The following is a 26429-nucleotide window of genomic DNA, read 5'->3' on the forward strand; positions in this document are numbered from 1 at the left end:
GAGACTGCGCCTGGCCCTCGAAATGACCATTTCACCAAGGAGCCCTGGGTTTTGTTTTGTTTTTTGACAGCTGGGGAATGGTATTTAAAAACCAAAGTATGGGTTCCAGGCTTGCTCATTGCTACTAGAGCATCTTTGCTTCTTGGCTGTTTCAGCATATGGCACTAGTAAATGTACATATATAATACATACAAACATGCATAAATATGTAGATAAATACATGCATATATACATATTTTAGAAATGAGTTCTTATCAATACCTACAACTCCAATTCATCCTACAGGGTTTCTTTTTTTCTAAATTTTAAATTCCTTTAAAAATTTGTTTCCGCTGCTTGACTCAGAGCCACAGGGTTTTGTTTTTTTTGTTTCCCCTCATTCCATATTTGTATATCTCTTCTTCCATAGTGAGAACACTGTCTCCCAACAATATCAATATATTTATTTATTTGTTCAATCCTATAAGACATCTCGAATAGTCTCAGAATTATGCAACCTCTTTTTTTAAATGTATTTTTTTCATATAAAAACCCCGTAACGGGATGCAGCCTCTTTTGAACACACTCTTTTTATGTCTGTGGAATTTCCCACCATGTGAGTCTTTTTTCCCTAAGATAAAATCTAAAAAACTCCCTTCCCAGTCTTCTTTGTAGGTAGGGCACAAATAAGTTACCTGGGTTCCACCAGTTAACTTCACCTGTGTGGGATGCTGGTCCACAACAAAGCAATGGGAGGAAACAGGCTCTGCCCTAAACATCTATTTATCTGGTGAGAATGGCCGATGGCTGAAAAGTCTGGAATTCAGAGTCCACTGAGTGTGTTAGGTGGAGCTCTATACAGAAATGGCATTGGAGGTGGCAGCAAGGGCCACTCCAGCAAAGTCAATTTGGAGGCAATGCAAGTTGTGTGGTCTAGAATCAAAGGTGGTAACAGAAATTCCTCATCAGTCCAGTGCTGAAATGTGGTTTTGGATATTGACCTTGGAAGCTTAGCCTAAAGCATAGTTCTCTAGTCCTACCAGAAATTCTGTGAGCTACTCAGCATTCTTTAATAAATATTTTTTTTTCCTACGTGGGCAAACAGAGTCAGCTTTGATACTTATTATGAAGAATTCTGCCCCATAATTTTTTCTGATCATGGGTCATTTTCCTCTAAAAATTTTACATTTGTTTTTCTTTAGTTTATTGTTATTATTTTTTTCGTTGAGACAGGGTCTCACTCTGTCACCCAGGCTAGAGTGCAGTGGCACCATCACAGCTCACTGTAGCCTCAACCTCCCCAGGCTCAGATGATCCTCCCACCTCAGCCTCCCGAGTAACTGGGACTACAGACATGCACCACCACGCCCAGCTAATTTTTGTATGTTTTTTTGTAGAGACAGTGTTTCACCATGTTGCCCAGGCTGGTCTCAAACTCCTGGGCTCAAGCAATGTGCTTGCCTTGGCTTCCCAAAGTGTTGGAATTATAGGCATGAACCACCACACCCAGCTTTGTTTTTCATTTAAATAATTAACTCACCTATAATTTTAAAACTTTCTTTCTTTTTTTTTTTTTTTTTTTGAGATGGAGTTTTGCTCTCGTTGCCCAGGCTGAGTGCAATGGTGCAATCTTGGCTCACTGCAATCTCCGCCTCCTGGGTTCAAGTGAATCTCCTGCCTCAGCCTCCCAGGTAGCTGTGATTATGGGAATGCACCACCATGCCTGGGTAATTTTGTATTTTTAGTAGAGATGGGGTTTCACCATGTTGGTCAAGCTGGTCTCAAACTCCTGGCCTCAGGTGATCCACCTGCCTTGGCCTCCCAAAGTGCTGGGATTACAGGCATGAGCCCCCCTAGCCTTCAACTTTTTTTCTTAAGGCTATGTCTTAACCAAGGTTCCCTAAAACTTGCTTCTCAAAGTGGGGTCCTCAACTAGCAGCATCTGGGAGAGTTATTAGAAATGTAGATGCATAGGCCTCACCCCAGACTCACTGAATCAGAATCTGCATTTTAATGAGCCCCCTAGGGGATGCAAAATTTGAGAAACACTGCCCTAAAAATAGAGCCTGAAGCAAGGATTAAGTGCTGATGCTTTATTTGGGGGGTGTTAACTCAGAATAACAAGAGTAGGAAAAAAGAGAACTGAGGCAAGGAAAACTGGAAGCATGCATGGTGGTGGGTTTCTATTCTGGCCTCTTCTTTATAATGAGCCTCAAAAGACACTGCAGGTTGCTTGGCAGTTGTGCACACTTGACCATGTGGCAAGTGTTTGGACAGGCTGTATGGAGAAACCCTGCCTAAGAGAAATCCACCAATGGAGGTAGGTGAGGGAATTATCCTCATAAACCTCCCATCTCCTGTTTCCCAATGGTTGCTCCACAGGGAGTTAACCCTTATGCTTCTGGGTGACAACACTCAGACACTTTGGTGGCCATTCAGAAGCCAGATTACATATCCTGTTGCATAGTATTTTATCCAAGTGTGGAAGTGGCAGGAGGAGCCAGAGAGTACATCCACCAGCTAGTCACTCTGGTTATACAACAGCAGCCAGAGAGAAGGGCCTGGGCAGTGGGACTGGGTGGAGCTGGTTGGCTACAGCAGCAGTCAAGGCCAAGGAAATCTGAGAAGATGTCAGAAGACATATCCAATACAGCTTACCCGTTCACCAATCAGAAAAGTTGTGTGGTGTAACATGCCAATGGATAGGACCTTCTGTAAGCTTTAGATGGTGGTGCTGGTTGAAGCCCTGTAGACAATTAAAGCAAACCCATATATGCTATGCATATTGATTCTGGTAAAAATAAATCACTGCCCCAGAGTAGAAGGCATGCCTTTCCATTATAGATGGCTCCCACATTAGAATATAGAGCTGCCATTCCTTAAAATAAAATAAAATAGAATAAAAACTCTTTACCTCTTTTCTAAGAGAGGAAATACAAATCCATTTATTTATAAAGTTCCCTTTAAGGTTGTGGGCAGTTGCAATTTTCTGGAAGGCCTAATGGAAGAGACAGATGCATCAAGCTACAGAAGGCTTGATTCAAGCTACTGTTACTGGTCCTAAGGCTATAATTGATATTCATCATCTCCCTTCTCCACCACCCATGCTAGACTTCCTTCTTGTCCAACACTTCAGCTGATTCATCTAGATTGGTTGCCTGATTGGATGATCTTCGTATCTAGGGGAGGAGATGGGGATCTGAAGCTCTTAGTTGAATAGCCCTTATTGAGTTATAATTGCTTTACCAGGAGTGGAACAACTAGGAGGTATCTCAGTGAATCCCCTGGATTTCCTGCAATCCAAGAGGAATAATCCAGGCTGCTAAAGGTTTTATAATTTTTTTGGAGACAGGGTCTTGGTCTGTTGCCTGGGTTGGAGTGCAGTGGCATGATCATGGCTCCCTGAAGCCTTGCACTCCTGTTCTCAAGCGATCCTCCTGCCTCAGCCTCTTGAATGGCTAAGACTATAGGTGTGCACCACCATGCCCAGCTAATTTTTTAATGTTTCTGTAGAAACAGGGTCTCACTATATTTCCCAGGCTGGTCTTGAACTCCTGGGCTCAAGCAATCCTCCCATCTTGGCTTCCCAAAGTGCTGGGATTACAGGCTCATTCATGAGTCTCCACACCTGGCCAATTATTATAATTATTGTACTTTAACTCCTTTCTTTGCCCACCGACTTGCGGTGCTTAAGGCAGCCAGGTAAGTAGTTACAGATTCCAGGTCAGTGGAACCTCAGTGTGTGCCCTCACAGAGATATCTCCTGGGAAACCAGAACTTCTAACACAACAGAGTCCAAAGTTCCGGAAACAAAAAGCAAAAATTCCTCAAATGTATCACTGGGTATAATAGTGAAAGGGGCCACTTCTACTTCCATCCCTTGGTTTCTGGATTCATTCTTTCTAGCCATTACAGATTAGTACCATATATTGGTCTTTATTTCAAAGTGTATAATAACCTGGAGGACTGTGCCACAACCCTGTGAGATGTTGTCGCCTCGCTTTGCCTTATCTGAGTCTCAGCAGGCTTTTCCACGATATTATCAGGTCAGCTGCTCTTGCATGTGTGGTACATGGTAAGGCCAGTAGACCACGGTCATCAGCCCATTTTCATTCCCTCTTTCACCATAAAATAGCTCTCCTGTTTGGAGGAAGTGTTACATGGGTTAATATGTCAATGGATAAGGTGTCTATGAGCTCTCAGATGGTGGTACTTCTGAAGTCTCTGGCAGGAAAGGCAAACCCATGTATTATGTTTATATTAACATATGTGTTTATATCTTACCCCTTCTGTTTCTACCTCACCCCTTGGTAGGGTGACCATAGGTGTCAGTTTGATTGGGATGGTCCTGGTTTACACCCACTGGTATTTACCCATTGTTCCTGTGTAATCATGACTAGCATTCCTTTTTGCTCTCAACAGTGACCAAATTTGGAGAATAAATTCTGTGGTTACCCTTCCCCTAGGAACACCATGCTATGTTAGCCGAGCACCATGAGTCCCTGCAGAGAAGGTCATCCTGATTGCCCCTCTACCTTGCTGTCTGTTGTGGTAAGTATGGCTGCCTTGTCCTTTATGGTGAAGTGCTCCCACCTGGCCCCTGCAATTCTGGGATTTTTATCATCTCCACTAACAATAGGAAACCCAGTTTCATAGCAGTCTTTTCCTTACCAACAACTCTGGACTACAAGGAGAGCAAGTACAACCCAACCCAACGCCTCCAAAAGCCTCCTCAATAGTGCATTCTTTTTTTTTTTCTTTTGAGATGGAATCTCGCTCTGTCGCCCAGGCTGGAGTGTAATGTGGCATGATCTCGGTTCACTGCAACCTCTGTCTCCTGAGTTCAAGCAATTCTCCTGCCTTGGTCTCTTGAGTAGCTGGGATTACAGGAGTGTGCCACCACACCTAGCTAATTTTTATATTTTCGGTAGAGACAGGTTTTTGCCATGTTGGCCAGGCTTGTCTTGAACCCCTGACCTCAGGTGATCTACCCACCTCTGCCTCCCAAAGTGCTGGGATTACAGGTGTGAGCTACCGTACTTGGCCAATAGTGTATTCTCTATTGGCTTAGCAGGGAGTGTCCTCTGGGCCAGCCCAGGGAACCAGGCAGGTGGTGGGTTCTTGAGCCATACCTGGGAAACACTTCAAATACTCCCACCTCCCTGAGTCTTCTGACTCCTTCCTCAATAATACATAAGGAAATCTGGCTTCTCCACTTTGCTTATTGTAGGCCATTGCTGAGACCAGGCTTTCAAGAGCCATCCCAGAAAACAACTAGGACAAGCTCCAGCCTTCCCCGCTGAACGTTAATTCTCACGTTCTGTATGTGTGTATTAGCCAGGGTTCTCCAGAGAGACAGAACTGGTAGGATATCTACACTGATATATAAGGGAATTATTATGGGAATTGGCTCAGGCAATTATGAAAGCTGAGAAGTCCCACAATCTGCTGTCTGCAAGCTGGAGAAACTAGGGAAACTGGTGGTGTAATTCAGTCTGAGTCCAAAGGCCCGAGAGCCAGGGTGGCTGATGGTGTAACTCTCACTCCAGGGCCCAAAGGCCTGAGAAGAGGGGGTGGGGGCAGCTTGGGTAGAAGCCTCAAAGTCTGTAGGCCAAAGAACATGGAGTTCTGATGTCTGGGGGCAGGAGAATATGGATGCCCCAGCTCATGAAGAGAGAGAGAGAGAATTTGCACTTGCTTTGCCTTTTTGTTCTATGAGGGCCCTCAATGGATTGAGTGATGCTTGCCCATATTGGGTGAGGGCAGATCTTCCTTACTCAGTCCAGGGAGTAAGAAAGTCAAATCTCTTCTGGAAACAACTCACAAAAATACCCAGAAATAATGCTTTACCACCTATCTGGATAACCCTTAACCCAAGTCAAGCTGACACCCAGTCGAGTCCACACACGTTTCCACAATTCCTGCCAGTCCACATTAGCCAAGCTCTGCAATATCTTTGGCAAATATGTTTTTTCCCCCTGGAGCAGGGCATTTTCTTCCCAGTATGGGCTGTGCTATAACCTGACTCTGGTATTGTTGGAGGCAATAAGGGGTGGGGCCAGGTCTTGAGGAGAACAAATCATGAGGAAGTGGGTCTTCTTTGGGCAGGAGACTTCAGGGCATTTGAATGGTCAAGATGCTCATCCACTCTTATATCCCTATCCCAGGTCTTATTGTCCCAGTCTTTTCCTATCTGGGCTCTCACTTTGACATGGCAGGCTGTCAAGGGCATGCGTTTAGTTTCCTTTGCCATTCTGCTACCCTTTGATCTTGGGCTTGATTTTAAGAGCCTATCCTATGAATACAGGAAATAAGACTTTCTCTTAAAGTTTCCATAGAGGCTTTCTGGCTTTAAAGCATTGTATGACTTGGCTCTGAGGCTATTTTTTGTTTCCAAGATCTCCAGTGCCTTATAATTATCATTGTTTCTGAGCTGATTATCACAGCCACTTGATCTTCCAATGTCTTGCTCTCCATACAGTTTACCCCAATTAAACCCAAGTGAAAGCTATGGTGCTATTGCATATCAGGGTTATCACCATCTGCCTTAGAGAGGTCTCTATTGATTTCAGGAAGGTGAGCTATACAAACCCAAAATTTATCTTGAGGATTTGCTTTCTAGAACTACTTGTGGACCCAGTTGTCTTAACTTATTTTCTCTAGAAAACAGAATCTGAAACAAAGATTAAATGCTGATTGGGAAGGCAGACAGAGTGAGTAAAAAGGGAAATGACATTGGCTAGGATGAGAAGCAATGCAAGGTGGCATGTTATCATATAGGCAACTGCTTCATGACCAGAGGCAAAGAGCCATGGCAGGTTACTTAGTAGGTATGTCTGCTCAGCCATACAGGACATCTCTGGACAGGCTATTTTGGAAAACCACAACTCAGAACAGTTCATAGGAGGGAAGAAAAGGAATTTATCTGACCAGCTCCCTCCCATCCTGGTTTGTTGGTTTTTATTTTTATTTAATTTAATTTTAATTTTATTTTTTTGAGACAGAGTCTCACTCCGTTCCTGAGGCTGGAGTGCAGTGGGGCAATCTTGGCTCACTGCAACCTCCGCCTGCTGGGTTCAAGCAATTCTTATGCCTCAGCCTCCTGAGTAGCTGGGATTACAGGGGTGTACCACCACAACGGGCTAATTTCTTGTATTTTTAGTAGAGATGGTGTTTCACCATGTTGGCCAGGCTGGTCTCAAACTCCTGGCCTCAAAATGATCCACCTGCCTCAGGCTCCTAAAGTGCTGGGATTATAGGCCTGAGCCACCGCGCCCGGCCTCCCTCCCATCTTGTTTCTCATTGGTCAATATGCTCCCCATAGGGAATTAATTCCCTAGGTTGCATCATCCAGCCCCTCTGGCTGCTCGGAAGCCAGATGCCACATCCTACAGTGTGGCGTTTCATCTGAGTCCAGAAGTGGTAGAGGACCAGAGACTCCAGACAGGTGGCTGGCCAGCCTTATTGTGCAGCAGCAGCCAAATGGAGAGCTGAGCACTTCTGGGCAAGTGACTAGTCAGTCGCAGATGGCTGAATGCACAGATCTAGTTGGCCATGGAGGTAGCTGTGGAGCAAGGAGAAAAGCTAGACCTAGGGAATCTGAGGCAGCACATGGGATGTGTCTGATACATTTATTAATAAGCTATTAATACACACATTGTCTTTGTTTTATATGGAAAATGTCAAACATTCATAAACATTGAGAAAATCATTTACTGACTCTGTGTACCCATCTTTTAGTTTCAACAATTATGAGCATTTTACCAACTGTTTTTTTACTGCAACATTGTAAAGCAAGTCCTAAACATTGTGTCATTTCATCCATAAATATTCATTATGTGTTTCTGAGATTTTACATAACCACGTCACTGATAAAGCTAACAAATTATCAATAGTTTTGTAACATTATATAATGCTTAGTCTATATTCAGATTTCCTTAATTCTCTCATACGAGTTTGTTTTATTTTGGTTGGTTTTGGTTTTATAGCTGTTTATTTGAAATAGAATTGAAGCAAAGTCCACACATTGCATTTGATTGCTATGTATCTTAAATCTTTTCAGTTCTATTTGGGTAATTCACCACCCCATCCCACACTTTTTTTTCCCCATTGCCATCAGTTTGCCATTAATTTGTTAGAGACAGTGTAACATTTGTCTCACATTCTGAATTTGACTGATTGTTTCCTTCTGGTGTCACTCAACTGTTTCTTCAATCCCCACTTAAAATTTTTTTTTTTTTTGTATTTTTTTGTAGAGTTGGGGTTTCACCATGTTGACCATACTGGTCTCAGACTCCTGGCGTCAAGTAATTCACCCTCCTCAGATATCCCTTTTATTCCTAAAAGTTGTTCTTTAGATCCAGACACTTAATTACGGGTTCAATTGTGTTTTTTTAAGGCAAGAACACTTCATAGGTGCTATTGTATACTTACTATGGCACAACACCATAAGGCTCATAGTGATGAAGCTATGACTGACAAACTCATGTGGAATTAATTTTCTTATATAGCAGGAGGTAGGAATCCAGCTTCAACTTGGTTGTGAGGCATGATAGCTTTTATACATTGCTGGATTCCATTTGTGGATATTTTGTTTAGGATATTTTCACTTATGTTCAAAAGTAAGATTATCAGTAATGTTCCTATCTTGTACTTTCTTTGTCTTATACCAAGATTTTACCAGCTTAATACAATTAATGGGGGAATGGTTCTTTTTCTGTTTTCTCAAAGATTTCATAGAGGATTTGTTTCTTCAATATTTGATGTGACTCAAGTAAAACTCTCTGGGTCAGGTGATTTTTTTGGAGGGTAAATTTTAACAGTTGTAGGACTACTAAGGTTTTCTATTTTTTCTCAAGTCAGTTTTGAAAATATGTTTCCTTAGAAATTTAAATTGTTAGCCGGGTATGGTGGCTTACTCCTGTAATCCCAGCACTTTGGGAGACTGAGATGGGTGGATCATCCGAGGTCAGGAGTTCTAGACCAGCCTGACCAATATGGTGAAACCCCATCTCTACTAAAAATACAAAAATTAGCTGGATGTGGTCACGGGTGCCTGTAATACCAGTTACTCGAGAGGCTGAGGCAGGAGAATTGCTAGAACCCAGGAGGCAGAGGTTGCAGTCAGCTAAGATCGCACCATTGCACTCCAGCCTGAGGGACAAAAACTCCAATTAAAAAAAAAATTAAAATTGTTTTCTGTTTGTTTGTTTGTTTTTTGAGACAGGGTCTCACTCCTGTTGCCCAGGCTGGAGTACAGTGATACAATCACAGCTCACTGCAGCCTTGACTTCCTGGGCTCATATGACTCTCCCACCTCAGCCTCCCGAGTAGCTGGGACTATAGGCCCATGCCACCATGCCCGGCTAATTTTTGTTATTGTTTTACTTTCAGTAGAGATGTAGCAGGCAGAAAGAAATTTAAGTTGTTGACTTTGTTTTCAAATTCATTGGCATAATGTTTTCGCAGTATTCTATTATCTTTTTAACCTGTCATATCTATAATTTCTCTTCCAACTTCATTTGTTTCTATTATTGCTTAAGTCATTCCTCTTGTTTCTTATTTGTCTTATCAGAGGTTTTTTTTTAGCTCATTAGTTTTTTAAAAAAATCAACTTTTGGTTTTGCTGATCCTGTCTCCCATAACTTTCTTTCTTTTTTTTTTAATTTATACCTGTTCTTTTGTTTATTATTTCCCTTTTTATTTTCTTTAAGTTAATTCAGTTGCTGTTTTGTAACTTCTCATGTTGCATGCTTAACTCATTACTGTTTAGCCTTTCCTATCAGTACTAGAAGTGGGATCCTAAACATGTGATCCTATCACAGTGATCTGTTGGCACACGGCAAGGAAATACACATCATAGGCTGGGAAGATAGGAACCTAGGTTATGTAGTAACAAAACACTTGGTAAAATGGTTACTTGCAGTGACTTGATTGCAAATCTGATCAAGTGCCTACTACTGATTCAGCTGCTTCAAAGGAAGTTGTTGGAAAGAGCCAGAGTGTTAGCATGTGTTGGTTATCTTTTGCTTTGTTTAGTAAGGTTTTTAGATAAAGAGATGATCCCTGGAAAGAATTGACTAATACATGAAAAATGGAAAAGAATGGACTGAGCACAGATATTTGGGGCTTTCTTGTGTTAGAAAAAAATTGCTTTTAGACCCCAAATACAAAGTAAGACTAATAAAAGTTTTGAATGACTAACGCCAATTAACACTTTCTAAAAAAAAAAAACAAAGTGATTGAGTCTATGGCAAAGATCGGATTGGAAGTTTAGACTTCTCATTCAAGCCTATTATTTCAGATGGCCTCAAAATAACCATTATTAGGTGAAACAGAAAGGCATGGGAACAAGGAAATTAATGAGGTTTGGGAATTTTATTTAAAAGAGAAATTTGGATGTGCTTGTTGGCATATGGAACTATCTAGAAGCAAATAGGTTAGAAGGCTACGAAATTTGTAAGGAATTGTATAGCCAAAGAAATCACAAATGCAACTTTGAAAAAGGCTTTGACTATTTAAACTTTAAATTAATCCTAAAGTCCTTAAATTCACACCACCATGGCATTGGCTGTAAGAGCTCTGCAGCCCCCTAAGGATGTAGCCACTTCAGATGTGTCCATAGAAGAACCAGAGAGCAGAGTGAGGGGCTACGATAACACAGGATAAAGAATCTTTCCAGAAAGCAGAATCAGGGTCTAAGGAAGGAACTTTCCCTATCCTCAGGGCAGACTTCATAATGCCTGTTTCTCAGGGTGTAAGTGATAAGTTCTAGTGACTTTTTTTTTTTTTTTTTTGACAGAATCTCGCTCTGTTGCCCAGGCCAGAGTGCAGTGTTGCAATCTCTACTCACTACAGCCTTGAACTCCTAGGCTCAAGCAATCCTCCCACCTCAGGCTCCTGAGTAGCTGGGACCACAGTCATGTACCACCATGGCCAGTTAATTTTTTGTGCTTTTTTTATAGAGACGGAGTTTCGCCATGTTGGCCAGGCTGGTCTCAAACTCCTGGCCTCAAGTGATCCGCCCACCTCGGCCTCCCAAACTGCTGGGGTTACAGGTGTGAGCCACTACTACGCCCAGCCTGCATCTAATTTTAGTATCTGAAGTCTTTAGAGATTTAACTCTAGTTGTGTATGCTGACTCTTGATTTTGGTGGCTTGCTTCCTTGTGACTTGGTAATTTGTAGACATGGGTTTCTGTTTGCCTGAGGTCTTTAGGATTACCTGTGGGCCTGGGTTGAGGATGTGTTTATCCAGAGAAGATGTTCATTTGCTGTTTCCAGGCACCTAAGGACGTTATCAGCCTGGCACTATTTAAACATAATTTTTCAGCTTGGGTTTTCCTGAACTATCCAGATAGTATAAGTTAACTGCAAGGCCAGATAATATAGTTACAAACTCTTGAAGGAAACTTTTTTATTATTATGCTTTTTTTCTATTCAGAGCTGAGGCTGAAATGGACAAGTTATTTTTGTGGTTTTCCTTTGCTGGCTGGACTTTGGGCCAACTGTTTAACCTTTTCCAGTTTCAGTTTAAAACTTACAGCATAGATTTCTTGTGAGCATTAAATGACATAATGCAAGTGAGGTGCTTAGATTGTGCTTGACATAAAGTACTTGATAAGTGTTACTTTTTGTTTTGCTCTTTTTGTGGCAAGAACTAGATCCAAACCAATTAGAAATGGTACAAAACAGGCCAGGCATGGTGGCTCACTTCTGTAATCTCAGCACTTTGGGAGGCTGAGGCCAGTGGATCTCTCAAGCCCGAGTTTGAGACCAGCTTGCGTAACATGGTGAAACCCCGTGATATGGCTTGGATTTGTGTCCCTGCCCAAATCTCATGTCGCACTGTAATCCCCAATGTTGGAGGAGGGGCCTAGTGGGAGGTGATTGGGTCATGGGGGTGAATTTTCCCCTTGCTATTCTAGTGATAATGAGTTCTCATGAGATCTGGTTGTTTAGAAGTGTGTAGCACCTTTCCCTTTGCTCTCTTCCTCCTGCTCCAGACAAGTAGGATGTGCCTGCTTCCCCTTCACCTTCCACCATGATTATAAGTTTCTTGAGGCCTCCCCAGCCATGCTTCCTGTACAGTCCGTGGAAACATGAGCCAATTAAATTTATTTTCTTTATAAATTACCTAGTCTCAGGCAGTTCTTTTTTTGTTTGTTTTTGTTGTTGTTTTGTGATGGAGTCTTGCTCTGTTGCCCAGGCCGGAGTGCAGTGGCACGATCTCAGCTCACTGCAATCTCTGCCTCCCGAGTTCAAGTGATTCTCCTGCCTCAGCCTCCTGAGTAGCTGGGATTACAGGTGCGTTCCGCCATGCCCGGCTAATTTTTGTATTTTTAGTAGACACAGGCTTTCACCATGTTGGTTAGGCTGGTCTCGAATTCCTGACATCGTGATCCACCCACCTTGGCCTCCCAAAGTGCTGGGATTACAGGCATGAGCCACCGCGCCCAGCCTGGCAGTTCTTTATAGCAATGTGAGAATGGACGAATACATCCTGTCTCTACAAAAAAAATAAAAAGAAAAAATAGCTGAATGTAGTGATGTGCACCTGTGGTCCCAGCTACTCAAGATACTGTGGTGGGAGGATCACCTGAGCCCAGGAAGTCACGGCTGCAGTGAGCTGAGATTGCGCCACTGCACTCCAGCCTGTGCCTATGAATAGGTGACAATATATGTGATTCAGATACTACCATGGAATATATGCAAAATATCCTTTAGGGAAGTGAGAGATGAAGAAGCTATTTGATTTTTCTGAGACCTCCAGGAAAGACGCTTAAGTTCCTCATTTGGCATTCTCTTCTGTGGTCCTAGAACACAGCAGGATTGCTAAATCTCATGATTTACAGAATATTAGTGTTGATATTTAGTGAAAAAGTCAGTTCACTAGTTCAGTGCAGTGGTAACATCCCTCATCAGGATGATCATAGGCCCCGAACACATGGGCTGAACTTTCATCAGCCCCATGTGGGTATCAGCCTCATATGGGGTGTATTAGTTTGCTAGGGCCACTAAAACAAAGTGCCACAAACTGTCTGGGCACGGTGGCTTATGCCTGTAATCCCAGCACTTTGGGAGGCTGAGGAGGGTGGTTCACCTCATGTCAGGAGTTCGAGACCAGCCTGGCCAATGTGGTGAAACCCCATGTCTACTAAAAATACAAAAATTAGCAGGGCGTGATGGTGGGTGCCTGTAATCCCAGTTAATTGGGAGGTTGAGGCAGGAGAATCACTTGAACCCAGGAGACGGAGGTTGCAGTAAGCTGAGATTGCACCACTGCACCTCCAGCCTGGGCGACAGAGCGAAACTCTGTCTCAAAACAAACAAACAAAAAAACAAAGTGCCACAAACTGAGTGGCTTAAACAGAAATTTATCATCCCACACTTCTGGAGGCTGGAAGTCTGAGAGCAAGGTATTGGCAAGGCCAGGATCCCTCTGAGGGTGCAGGAAAGGGTCTGTTCCAGGCCTCTCTCCTGGATTCTGGTAGTTCCTTGGCTTGTGGCAGCAACACTCCTATCTTCACATGGTGTTCTCTCTGTGCACATGTCTGTCTCTGCATCCAAGTTTCCCTTTTATAAGGATATCAGTCTTACTACTCTGGTATGACCTCATCTTAACTAATTATGTTTGCAAAGACTCTATTTTTGAATAAGGTTACATTGTGAAGTGCTAGGGGTTGGAACTTCAACATACGAACATACGAATTTGGGGATGGGGACACACAATTCAACCCATAACTGGGTAGATCTTCCTCTGTGCTGTCAATAGAGGCAGAAACAAATTCTTCCTGTTCCTGTGTGCCACTGCCCGCCTACTCCTATGCCTCTCAGCTTTTTCTTTTCCCCTCCACACACCCATGGCTTGTTTGAAATATACATCCCTTTCCCTGGGCAGCTGCAGTAATTTCTCAGTCTTGACTCCCAGGCAGTGAAATGTGCTGGGAACAGATGTCTCCAAATCTGTTTGTGTCACTGTCTCAGATTCAGATGAAAGCCCAACTTACATGTACCAGGAATTTAGCATGTGTTTTTACATACCTTACCTCTCTGTCCTCACAATATCCCTCTAGAGTAGTATCATACCGTCTTCATGAGGAAATTAAGGCTCATAGATGCTGAGTAACTTACCCAAAATTTTACCATTAATAACTAGTAGAGCTAGAAATATGAACCATCAGGGTAGGATTTTGTCTTATTTCTCATCATGATAGCAGCTGGCATTTGAATAATGAGATATTATCTAAGTCCAGTTCTTCTCATTCCAAACTTTTCCACTACGCTTCCCTGCTATACCGGTAGTTATGCCAACAAATACAAGTGGCCTTTCTCTCAGAGGTTGAGCATCCAGCCACCATGTCCTTGCTCAAACTGCAAATTGGTCTTGTCCAATTTGCAGTGTGTATATGTGGCTGTGTCAGTCTTACTAACTACCAGAACATTCAAAATCCTTAATCTAACTTGCCTGGGTTCACTGGAGTGTCATATAACACAAAATACACAAGGAAATGGAGAACAAAGTTGGCCGGCCCATGCAGCCTAGTTCAACTGTCAAATGAGAAGGAATTCTGAATAAGACAGCCCTTCTGCCTGACAATGCCCTTGCTGAGACAGCACAATTCACTTCAGAAGCTTCCTTACCAGCTCTTTGGAGAAGTAGCAAAATCTCCTAACTATACTCATGTGCCATGCCACTTGGTTCTCCACTCCATCCCACTGCTGGGGAAGAGAAGAAAAGATAATTGGAATATTGGAGATGAACAGCAAAAGCTCTTCTCCTCAACTGTCAGGGAGTCCTGAGGTGCCTGGAGGCAGGAAGATGAACTGATAACCCTCTCAGGTCCCCGGGACTTTAATTCAGGTAAAGCAGGATGCAGGCTCTGGCTTAACAGGGTAATCGTAGGAGCTCGGACTTGACCTGAGTGGGGACACTGGGAAGTGATTCCAAGGAAGGTGACCCTTGCCAGACATTCTTCGATATTCACCAACTGGTCTGTTCACCTGAGCTTTGAGAGCTCAGTTTTCTCCAGAGGGACTGTCAGGTCAAATCCTCATTCTCTGCATACAGGTCCTCATCCTGAAATTCTAGTCTCCTGGACTTGAAACTCCCGGGAAATGTGGAGAAAAGGGTGGATTTGAGAGGTGAATGCAAAAAGAAGGGAAGAAGAATGTTCAAGATGAGAAAATAGATCACTCTCTGAGACATGTTTTCTTTTAATCAGGAAATGAAAACTGAGGCAATTATAGGTTGAGGGGATAATTTTCTTTCACTTCTTGCTTTTTTTTCCAGGTGTTCTTCTTGCAGTCAAATGAGTCAGACAATTTCATGAATTGGCCCATTTCCTTTGTCTCTATGAACCTAAGGTATTATTCTCATTATTTATTTTTGTTTTACTTTTAGAAATGGAGTTTCACTCTGTCAACCAGGCTGGAGTGCAGTGGTGTGATTATAGCCCACTATAATCTTGAACTCCTAGGCTCAAGCAATCCTCTCATCTCAGCCTTTAAAAAAATTTTAATTTTAATTTCAATAGTTTTTGGGGTACACATCGTTTTTGGTTACATGGATAAGTTCTTCAGTGATGATTTCTGGGAATTTAGTGCACCTATCATCTGAGCAGTGTGTATTGTACCCAATATGTAGCCCTTTTTTTGTTGTTTTTGTTTTGTTTTTGAGACAGAGTCTCACTCCATCACCCAGGCTGGAGTGCAGTGGTGCAATCTCAGCTCACTGCAACCTCCGCCTCCTGGGTTCAAGTGATTCTCATGCCTCAGCCTCCTGAGTAGCTGGGATTACAGGTGCTGTGCCACCATGCCCAGCTAATTTTTGTATTTTTAGTAGAGATGGGGTTTCATCATGTTGGCCAGGCTGGTCTCGAACTCCTGACCTCAGGGGATCTACCCGCCTCAGCCTCCCAAAGTGCTGGGATTACAGGCATGAGCCACCCCACCAGGCCCAATATATAGTCTTTTATCCCTCACACTCATCCTCCCCTTCCCGGCCCACCACTGAGTTCCCAAAGTCCATTATATCATTCTTTACATCCTCATAGCTTAGCTCCCACTTATAAATAAAAATATATGATTTTTGGATTTCCATTCCTGAGTTACTTCACTTAGAATAATGGCCTCTAGCTTCATCCAAGTTGCTGCAAAAGACATTATTTCATTCCTTTTTATGACTGAGTAGTATTCCATGGTGTATATATACCACATTTTCTTTCTTTCTTTTTTTTTTTTTTTTGAGACAGAGTCTTGCTCTGTTGCCCAGGCTGGAGTGCAGTGGCGCCATCTCAGCTCACTGCAAGCTCCGCCTCCCAGGTTCACGCCATTCTCCTGCCTCAGCCTCCCGAGTGGCTGGGACTACAGGCGCCCACCACCATGCCCGGCTAATTTTGTGTATTTTTAGTAGAGACGGGGTTTCATCATGTTAGTCAGGATGGTCTCGGATCTCCTGACCTCGCGATCCGCCTGCCTGGGCCTCCCAAAGTGCTGGGATTACAGACATGAGCCACCACGCCCGGCCTATATACTACATTTTCTTTATCCACTCATTAGTTAATGGGCGCTTAGGTTGGTCCCATATTTTTGCAATTGCAAATTGTGCTGCTATAAACATGCATGTGCACGTGTCTTTTTCATATAATGACTTCTTTTCCTTTGGGTGGATACCCTGCCATGGGAATGATGCATCGAATGGTAGCTTTAGCTCTACTTCTAGTTCCTTAAGGAATCTTGCTGTTTTCTATAGTGGTTGTACTAGTTTACATTCTCACCAGCAGTTTTATGCATGTTCCCTTTTTGCCACATCCACATCAAAATCTATTATTTTTTGACTTTTATGACAATTCTCGCAAGAGTAAGATGGTATCTTATGGTGGTTTAATTTGTATGTCTCTGATAATTAGTGATGTTGAACATTTTTTCATATGTTTGTTGACTGTATATCCTCTTTTGAAAATTGTCTATTCATGTCCTTTGCCAATTTTTTGATGGGATTGGTTTTATCTGGCTGATCTGTTTGGGTTCCTTGTAGATTCTGGATACTGGTCCTTTGTCAGATGCACAGTTTGTGAATATTTGCTCGCACTCTGTGGATTGTCGGTTTACTCCGCTGATTATTTCTTTTGCTGTGCAGACCCTTTTTAGTTTAATTAGGTCTCATTTATTTATTTTCATTTTTGTTACATTTGCTTTTGAGGTCTTAGTCATGATTTCTTTGCCTGAGCTAATGTCTAGAAGTGTTTTTCTCATGTTATCTTCTAGAATTTTTATGGTTTCAGGTCTTAGACTTAAGTCTTTGATCCATCTGGAGTTGATTTTTGTGTAAGGTGAGAGACGAGGATCCAGTTTCATTCTACATGTCCACTTCAGCCTTTTGAGTAGCTGGGACTACAGGTGTGTGCCACCACATCTGGCTAATTTCAAAATATTTATTTAGTAGAGACAAGGTCTCGCTATGTTGGTCCAGTCTCTAATTCCTGGCCTCAAGTAATCCTTCCTCCTCTTTCTCCCAAAGTGCTGGGTTTAAAGGTGTGAGGCACCACGTCTGCCCTATTCTCATTATTGAATCTATAAAGTTCTTGGCATGGGCTCTGTCTCAGGGAGCAGTGCAGGGCTAAGTCCAGAATCCAGGTCTCCTCACCCAAGCCCTGGCTCTCAACTACCCCTCAGGGGTCTCTGCCCTCCTGTGGAAGAGAAGTTCCAGTTCCATGACAGGCAACTTGTCAGGATAAGCATCCAGAAACTGACCCGCCATCAGTGGCACTTTGACAACTGTCTTCTTAATTCAAGGTTCACTTAGCATAGGTCTCATAACTGCTTTGCTCAGAGCTGGCCTGCTGGCCTGCAGTTTAAAGAGAAAGGATGCTATGGCCAGGATCCTCAGTGTCACAAGAGAGGAAGTCAGGGAATCACAGAACCTTACAGCCAGAACAGACCCTGGAGAGCGGGAGGTCTGCTCTCCTTTCAGAAAGAGAAGCTAAGGCCCAGAGCAGGGAAGTGGCTTGTCCAGGGTCACACAGCTGAGCAAAGTGACAAACCTGGACCAGGAGCCAGCCTTCAGGTCAGCAGTCTGGTGCTCTTCCCACCTCAACCTGCTCTCCTCTTTCTTAAAGAAAAAGAAAGAGAAGGTGTTTCAGTAGTGAGTGTGGGATAGCCACCCACTTCACCATGGTTTGGAAGCATCTCTCCATCCCTCCTCTCACTCAACAGCTGTGGCAGAACAGTCAGGGCCTGCCTGACCTCTTGAGTTTTATTGTCTCCTCTCAACTTGGGCTTAAAGGGACTTTATTAACCATGACTAATACCAGAGGATCCAAAGCTGCACCCACTTGTTAATTTTGAGGAATTTTTAAATGCGGGATTTAAAAAAGATTTAATTTCACGCATAGGTATGAACAGCCCCTCATCATCCCAGGTAGAGGATGAACAACTCATCATCCCGGGTAGAGGCAGGTAAGTGTGTCCAGCGTCCCTCAGGGAATGCTCTTCTGATGCCAAACCCTCTGCTTCCGCGGGGTCACTTCTCGGGTGGTTTTGTTTCTCCTCTGCTTCCACAGTTGCAAACCCTCGAAGTGCCACGACCCCTGGGGAAACTCGATCTTAAGTCCCATGGCCAAACGCTCCAGCCCGCGGGGCTCTCAGGACACCACAGCGATCGGATTTCGCGTGGCCGCCAGGCTCCCCCTACTCCTGTCCCCTCCCGCCAGAGAACCCCTGGAGCCAATCAGAGCGTCGCGGAGCCCGGGGTTGTAGAGTCCCGAGCCCGGGACCCGCCCCTCTTTGTTGCGGTGGCCAATAGACGCATTCGGAACATCGGCGGCTGCCCGGGTGACTTGGTTATATGTCACAGAATAACATTCGAGAATGGGACATGGAATGAGGCGACGGCCCCAGCAAGCCCCAGCAGCCCCAGCCCCAGCCCCAGGCCCAGCAGCAGCAGCAGCAGCCCCTGCTCTCCCGCCGCCCGGAGAGGCTCTGCAGCCATGAAGCCAACCGTCCCGAGGTAGGATCTTGGAGCTGCCGCGCGCCCTTCCTGCGCGCCGCCCGCCTGCAGCCAGTCCCTCCCGGTGATAGGCGCTGGAACTCGGGGAAAAGGGGGCGGATGGAGCTCTTTCCACTAGATCCCCGCCGGGGTCCGGGAGGGCTTCCTGGAAGAAAGCGGGCCGCCTTGCAAGCCAAGGCTGCTGCAGCGCCCTCGCGCCAGCTCTGGGCGCTCACATGCCAGCACGTTCGTGGCTCCCCTCCTCTCTTGGCCACATCTGAGGACCCAGGAATGTGTGGAGCCTTGCGGGAACCTCCTGTTCCTTCATGCTACACAAGCTGTCTTTCTTCTCCCCACATCTTGCGCTCCGCATCCCCCAAGCTCCTTGTGCCCCTCCATCCCCAACCCCCCGGGTTTAGGTGTGTGTGAAGCTTCGTGGCACATTTTGAGCTGCCTTTCTAGGTAATCGCAGGGCTGGAAGCCCGTCATCGATTCTCAGGGAGGCTGTCAGCGTGCAGGGGGGAGCGGGGAGTGTCGTGGAGACACTCCGGGACCCCTCACTCGGTTCCGCTGTGCGTCCACTTAGCTGTGGTGTCAGCTGTGTCTCCGCTGATTTCAGGCACCGCCGGTAAGCAGGGAGCCTCCGCGGAGCTCCCGCCGCCGCTCCCCCTTGGTGAGTCCTGCCGCAGCGAGAGGCATGGAGAAGGCCGCCCCCGCGGGGCGCTGATCCCCTCGCCGCGCCCGCGCGCACACGCCCCCCGCCGCCGCCGCCGCTGCCGCCGCCGCGCGCCCCCAGTACCTCGCTCCCCGCCCAGGCCCCACCATGACCGGCTCCGCGGCCGACACTCACCGCTGCCCCCACCCCAAAGGCGCCAAAGGCACCCGGTCCCGGAGCAGCCACGCGCGGCCCGTGAGCCTCGCCACCAGCGGGGGCTCAGAGGAGGAGGACAAAGACGGCGGGGTGCTGTTCCACGTCAACAAGAGCGGCTTCCCCATCGACAGCCACACCTGGGAGCGCATGTGGATGCACGTGGCCAAGGTGCACCCTAAGGGGGGAGAAATGGTGGGCGCCATCAGGAACGCCGCCTTCTTGGCAAAGGTCAGTGGCTTCCAGGGCGGAGTTGGGGGGCTGGGGGTAGGTAGGCAGCGATGGGACCGTTTCAGCCTATACATAGCAAACACAGGCAATCTCCATTTTCCTAGTCCTGCTACAAACTCCCTTCCTCTCCCCATTCCTTCCTGCCAGCCCTTTTCTAATTGAGATATTTAGATTGGAAGCCTAAGAAATGGGGAAGGGAGAGGTAGCGGGCTTGCTATCCTGGGACTGTGTAATTGGATTGTGCCAAGGTGTCTTTGAAGCTCCAGCCAAACTCTATTATTTACTCACCCCCACATACATCCTCCTTCAGCAAAAGCTAGAGCCACCAGGTACCAGCGATGCCAAAGAATGCACAGACCCCAGGGATCCCACCCTGCTTGTTCTCTTTGGAGTGTCTTGCTCCTCCTCTGCTCCCCTCTTCCCCCAGCAAATGATTTATTAAGCTGTGAATGAATTTGAAATCAACCAGTCAGACTTCTCAGTGTGAATAATTTCCAGACTTTTTGCCAGTTTTTTTTCTTTTCTTTCTGGTTTTTTTGTGTGTGTGTGTGTGACAGTGACTTTCACCTCTGAAACTTGCAAAACGGTGAACTCTCTCTCTCTCTTCCCAGCTTATTTGTGCTCCAAGAAAAAAGAAAGACTTTTGGCTGAGACTTAAAAGGGACTTTCCAGTACACATGATGAATTAGTCTCACTGGATAGAAAAAGAGGATGAGGAGTGAAACTCTCTTTTTGCCTTGGAGAGAAGCCAGTGAGCCATTTGGGTTTGGTGGCTAAGGATATCTTTACCGAGGGAGGGAGATGTACCCTGGTGGGAGTAGATACGTTATATGAAACATCAAAATGCAAACTGGGGAGAAATGCTGCCGAGCCTCGGGGTTATAGCGTGGCGGATGGTTTCCCCTGGACCCTGGGGACGCTGGTACGGCTGAGAAGATTCCTGGGCAGGTCTAGGAATGCCAGACTTGAGACCCGGAAGGCCATCTGGTTGATTCCCCAGCCTGGTGACAGCTGAGCATCTGAGCCTGCAGGCCAGAAAGCTGTGTGTGTCCTTGGAGAAGTGACAGAGCCTCTAAACTTCCTGCTGCAGTCAGTTACAGTGTTCTATTACTCTGCTGGTCAAGGAGATCTTCATTGTGCCCAACTAGAATCTTGCCTGCTTTAGTGTCAACCATAATTACCCTTGCTGAGTTCTTGAATATGAGAACAACCTTTGTTCCTGGTTTGCAGTTCTGACTTGAGAATTTTTCCTCCAGTGAGGAGCCGAGAGCCCTTAAACTTGGAAGAAAAGTGACCACAAGGAAAAAAACGCCTGTTCCTACTGTCCCATGCTGCCTTTCTTAGTAGCACCCGTACCAACCCTGCCTCTAATTGTGCTTTTATCCTTCCTCCAACCATGTATGCGGGTGCGCGGGGGGGGGTGCATTCTCTATGTGGGAATCATGGAATTTTGCTGTTTGTAGAGACCAGTCTCCCACCTCTCAACAGAATCCCCTCCTCTTTCTGAAGACCTCTTGGGAATGGGGAGCTTGCTGCTTCCCAGGGCAGCTGATCTTAGGCCTGGCCAGAGTCGATTGTTAGGAAGCTCTTAGACCAACCATAAATCCTCCTCGCAGCACCCTCCCACCCGCAAATCACATTTCATCACTGATTGTTGTGTTCCTCTTGCCTTTTGAATCAGGGCAGAGCATTGTCAACTTCCTTTGCTACTCACAGCACCCTTGAATGTTATGAGAGAGTGCTCTTAGGATGGAAGGGACTTGGAGTAAAAATCAAGGAACTGAATCCTAGTCTTGGTTGTATGACATCTAGCCTTGTGCCTCACTTAAGTGAGGTCATTCACTTAAAATCTCTGTCCTTAGTTTTCTCATCTATAAAATGGGAATAGACCAGACTTTGTAAGTTCTTTCCAGCTCTAAAATCTCATGATGTTATGACCCGTGAGTCTCCAGGTCACTAATGCTGATCTGTGTGATGCTAGAGGTCTGCTAGACTATGAGCCCTCAGGACTGTGACTTTTTCTATCATTCTGCTTCTGCTTCTTCCTTTGGCCTTCTTTGTCCACAGATAGCTCCTTTTGCCCTTTTTCTTTTCTTTTTTCTTATTTTGGAGACAAGGCCTTCCTCTGTCACCCAGGCTGGAGTGCAGTGTGTGATCATGGCTCACGGCAGCCTCAACCTCCCAGGCTCAAGCAATCCTCCCACCTCAGCCTCCTGAGTGTAGCTGGGACTACAGACACGTACCACCCAACCTGGCTAACTTAAAAAAAAATTTTGTAGAGACAAGCTCTCACCGTGTTGCCCAGACTGGTCTCAAACTTCTAGGCTCGAGCGATTCTCCCTCACTGGCTTCCCAAAGTGGTGGGATTACAGGTGTGAGCCACCGCATCTGGCCTTTTGCCCTTTCTTATATGTCATAGCTCCCAGACCAACTCACCCTCCTCCTTCTGAGACAATTCCTAGTTTGTCAGTAGTCATTTGCAAGCACATATGAAACACAGGCTTCTAAATCATGTCTGAGCAGTTTAGAACACAGACTGCTACTTCCTGAGACCTGTACCTGATTTTTCCATTATTGTAGCTGAATGCTGTGTTCTTAAGAAAGTGTTACCTTTTCTTTTGAGATGGAGTCTTGCTCTGTCACCCAGGCTGGAGTGCAGTGGTGCGATCTCGGTTCACTGCAACCTCCACCTCCCGGGTTCAAGCAATTCTCCTGCCTCAGCCTCCTGAGTAGCTGGGATTACAGGCACATGTCACCATGCCCAGCTATTTTTTGTATTTTTAGTAAGATGGAGTTTCACCATATTGGTCAGGCTGGTCTCGAACTCATGACCTCATGATCTGCCCACCTCGGCCTCCCAAAGTACCGGGATTACAAGTGTGAGCCACTGCGCCCAGCTGGTCTTCCCTTTTTTACACAGTGGCCACATCATATTGTACTTTTCATAGTAACTAGAAGGTTACGCGAAAACTGCTTCCAAGCCAGGAATCCCCAGCCCAAATGTGGACAGTCAGCTTTTTGGCCCTAAATATAAAGAACTTAACATTTCTCTCACATTGCATCTTAATGGTTGGTTCTCTATCCCCAGTCCTATCATGGTATCTCCCCTGGTCCTGACATTCCCCAAGCCCTGACCCCTGCCTAGGCCTTAACATGGGAAGAGCCTCAAAAGCTCCCTTTTCCAGGGGCCACTCCTCTCGGATTAGAGGGTTGTTTCTGTGCTCAGCATGGCAGACTCTTTCCTCTGGGGTCAAGTCCTTTTCTCCATCAACCAAATCAATATCTTACTGAGGAATTTGTACAGAAGAAGGGTGGTAGGGTGGCGGCGGTGGTAAAAGCTTGGCAGGCTTCAGGGGGATTAACCATTTTTGGCCATTGAATGTAGACTAAGAAGCAAAAGAAGTAGATGGGGGAGGTTTTCAAGGGCCTGCATGGAGGACTAAATGACACTTCATTTGACTACAGGACATTCCCTTAGCAGCCATGGTAACTTCTGCCTGAAGGTCCAGATATCCCCATCTTGCAGGGATTCCCCTGCTTTGAGATCCTCCTTCTAAATTTGTGACTGCAGGCCTCTCCCCTGGAGGTTGTTGAGTCTGAAGTTAGCAGTTGACGAGGTCAAAGGCAGGATTTTTCAGAAAGACTTTAAGGAAACAGCAAGAGTCAGTTGGAGGATAATAGCAGATGGGAAGCGAGGCTCAGAGAGAGTGGCCAGCCCAGAAGAAAACAGTGGGCATTCTAGGAAAATTCTAGGACAATCCTCCTGTTTCTTAACAGCTTGGAACTGGACTCTCCTTGGGGCAGAAAACCAGGATGGATTCAGCAAGAAACAGCAGTCGGTTTCTTGCAGACCTCACTTCTTGTGCCTTATTCTCGAGTTGATTCCCAATTGGAAAATAATTCACATTTAGAGGACCGAGCTTCACCTGAGTGAAGACACGGGAGTGTTTGGTACTAGAGACCTGGCTGCAGTCAAGGGCTGTCCCTGCCCGCTGCCACCTCTTGCAGGCATCTCCTTTCCTCCCCCATCCTGGATTGAGAACCTTCCGTCTGTCTGTCTGTCCTGCACCTCTGTCCCAGGCCCTTCACAGGTTCCTGGCTGCCTCTGTTGCAGGAGCCTGGGGCTCATTCTGGGCTCATGGGTGCTGTTTTGTGCTTCTCTTCCCAAGCTGCCAAAGAAGATTCTTCTGCCTGGTGCCTGCATAGTGTTTTCAGAGTAGGGATGACAAAAGGTTTTGAATTCCCCTTGCTCTTGTTAAAGATTCCTAGTGCCTGGGGTTCTTGCTGCCTCTCTGGTTCCTTTCCTGGTCTTTCCCTTCTCTGCCACACGGCAGTTCAGTTACACAACTGTCCATCCGTATCACTTCCCTTGCGTTCTTCCCACAGGTCAGTTGTGCTTCACAAGAACAGAGTGGAAGAGAGGCTGCTCACAAGAGCCTTGCCTGTGGTTTGTTTCATTGTTCTTTCTCTTGAACACCATCTTTCTGTCCACTCCACTCCCTCCTCCTGCCCCCTAGCCCTCAAGTTTTCTGGGGCCCCCACCCCTAGAAAACAGGCACAGTGCCTGTGTGAAGAGGTTGGTTTCGATCTGTTTCCTCTAGATTGTGCCTTCATCAGCCTGGCCACGGCTGTGGGGCTAACGTAGGCAGCAGGTGGTGAGACCGTTGAGGGGAAGGGCTACAGAAAGACAAAGTTGGAGTTTCAGGTAGTACAGCAATTGATGAAATCTGGCAGGAAAATAGCATGAGGAGGGACCCCAGTCACGAACAGAAAAAAGGGATATGCCCTGGGCTTTTCTTGAAAAGGTTGCACCAATTTATGTTTGCCTCGATCCTGTAGGAGAGCATCCTTACCAGCATTGGGTATCTGTATTTCAGCATGTTTTTGCTAATTGGAGAGGTGAAAAATGACATTTTGCAGTGGGTTTAATTTGCATTTCTTATATTATTAGAGCACTTAAACAATTTTTTCAAGTATTTGGTTATTATTTGCTTTTCTTCTTTTGTGAATTGTCTTTTCGTGGCTCTTAAAATTGTGGAGAGAGAGATATATATATGATACAGTTTACCATTTTCACCGTTTTTAAGTGTACAACTCTGTGGCATTGAGTACCTTCACACTGTTGTGCAGCCATCACCACCATCCATCTCCAGACGTTTTTCATCTTCCTAACTGAAACCTTGTATCCATTCCACACTAACTTTCCATTTCCCTCTCTCCCCAGCCCCTGGCAACGACCATTCTACTTTGTGTCTCTATGACTTTGACTACTCTGGGAACCTTATATAAGAGGAATTATTCAATATTTGTCCTTTTGTGATTGGCTTACTTCATTTAGCAAAATGTCATCAAGGTTCATCTATGTGATAGCATGTGTCAAAACGTCTTTCCTTTTAAAGGCTGAATCGTGTTCCACTGTATACCATCGTATATTCCGTGGTGCGCCACATTTTGTTTATTCATTCATCTGTCAATGGACACTTGGGTTGCTTCCACCTTTGGGGGCCATTTTTATTTTCACTGAGGCCTAAAGATTTTTCTTGTCACTTTGCATGAGCTCATAATGAATTAAGGGTATTAACTCATTGTCACCAATGCATCCCCAGGGAGCAGTGAACGTTTTCATCCTCTCCATTAAGGTAAGAAGGTATCTTCATGATGTGAAGCTCCCAAGTTGAGTGTCCAGGGACTCTGCTGCTGCTGTTTCTGTTTTCCAGTTCCAGAAAGTAGGGATCATTCAGGTTTCCCCAGCCTAGACCCCTGACAATATATTGGTGATGAATAATACACAGCTTACACTTTTTTTTTTTTTTTTTTGAGATGGAGTCTTGCTCTGACACCCACGCTGGAGTGCAGTGGCTCAATCACTGCAACCTCCGCCTCTCAGGTTTAAGCAATTCTCCTGCCTCAGCCTGCCAAGTAGCTGGGTTTACAGGCGCCTACCACCATGCCCAGCTGATTTTTGTATTTTTAGTTTCGCCCTGTTGGCCAGGCTGGTCTCAAACTCCCAACCTCAAGTGATCCACTCACCTTGGCCTCCCAAAGTGTTGGGACTACACGTGTGAGCCACGGCACCTGGCCAACACAGCTTACACTTAATGAGCACCATATGCCAAGCCCCAAGTTGCCTACTTTTGCATTAGGTCATGTAATGCTTACAACCAGCTTGGAAGGTTGGAAGTAGGTGATACTATTCCTATTTTATCAGGAAGAAAACAGAGGCTTAGAGAGGTCATGCAGCTTGACCAGGGCCCACAGCTAGTAGGTGGCAGAGCAGGGCTTTGGACCTGGTTGTGTGTGTCTCCTAATGACACTCCGGGAAGCCCACCTGGTTTACAGTCCATGGCCAGTGGGAACGTTGGGA

At 45.5% G+C, this 26429-nt stretch overlaps 1 protein-coding gene across 4 annotated transcripts in view, besides 4 other annotated features; it reads left to right on the forward strand.

The window, feature by feature from the left end:
- Positions 6360 to 6560: a silencer, noted in NCBI's record as "peak689 fragment used in MPRA reporter construct". NCBI's record gives its function as "represses an SCP1 promoter by STARR-seq MPRAs in K562 erythroleukemia cells {active_cell/tissue: K562}" and the evidence as "EXISTENCE:reporter gene assay evidence [ECO:0000049][PMID:32103011]".
- Positions 18774 to 18923: an enhancer, noted in NCBI's record as "active region_2520". NCBI's record gives its function as "activates an Ori minimal core promoter by ATAC-STARR-seq in GM12878 lymphoblastoid cells {active_cell/tissue: GM12878}" and the evidence as "EXISTENCE:reporter gene assay evidence [ECO:0000049][PMID:35858748]".
- Positions 18788 to 26429, forward strand: part of VASH2 (vasohibin 2) — a 41045-nt gene continuing 33403 nt past the window's right edge. For 2 of the 4 annotated variants that reach the window (NM_001301056.2, NM_024749.5), the window contains exons 1-2: positions 18788 to 18987; positions 19586 to 20065. In NM_001301056.2, the coding sequence (NP_001287985.1) occupies positions 19790 to 20065 (276 nt within the window). In that variant the 5' untranslated portion in view covers positions 18788 to 18987; positions 19586 to 19789. The remainder of the gene's footprint in view (positions 18988 to 19585; positions 20066 to 26429) is intronic. The other 2 variants (NM_001136474.3, NM_001136475.3) reach the window with 2 other exon arrangements.
- Positions 19444 to 19493: an enhancer, noted in NCBI's record as "active region_2521". NCBI's record gives its function as "activates an Ori minimal core promoter by ATAC-STARR-seq in GM12878 lymphoblastoid cells {active_cell/tissue: GM12878}" and the evidence as "EXISTENCE:reporter gene assay evidence [ECO:0000049][PMID:35858748]".
- Positions 23648 to 23697: an enhancer, noted in NCBI's record as "active region_2522". NCBI's record gives its function as "activates an Ori minimal core promoter by ATAC-STARR-seq in GM12878 lymphoblastoid cells {active_cell/tissue: GM12878}" and the evidence as "EXISTENCE:reporter gene assay evidence [ECO:0000049][PMID:35858748]".

Source organism: Homo sapiens, chromosome 1 (genome assembly GCF_000001405.40).
Source record: "Homo sapiens chromosome 1, GRCh38.p14 Primary Assembly".
NCBI lineage: Eukaryota > Metazoa > Chordata > Mammalia > Primates > Hominidae > Homo > Homo sapiens.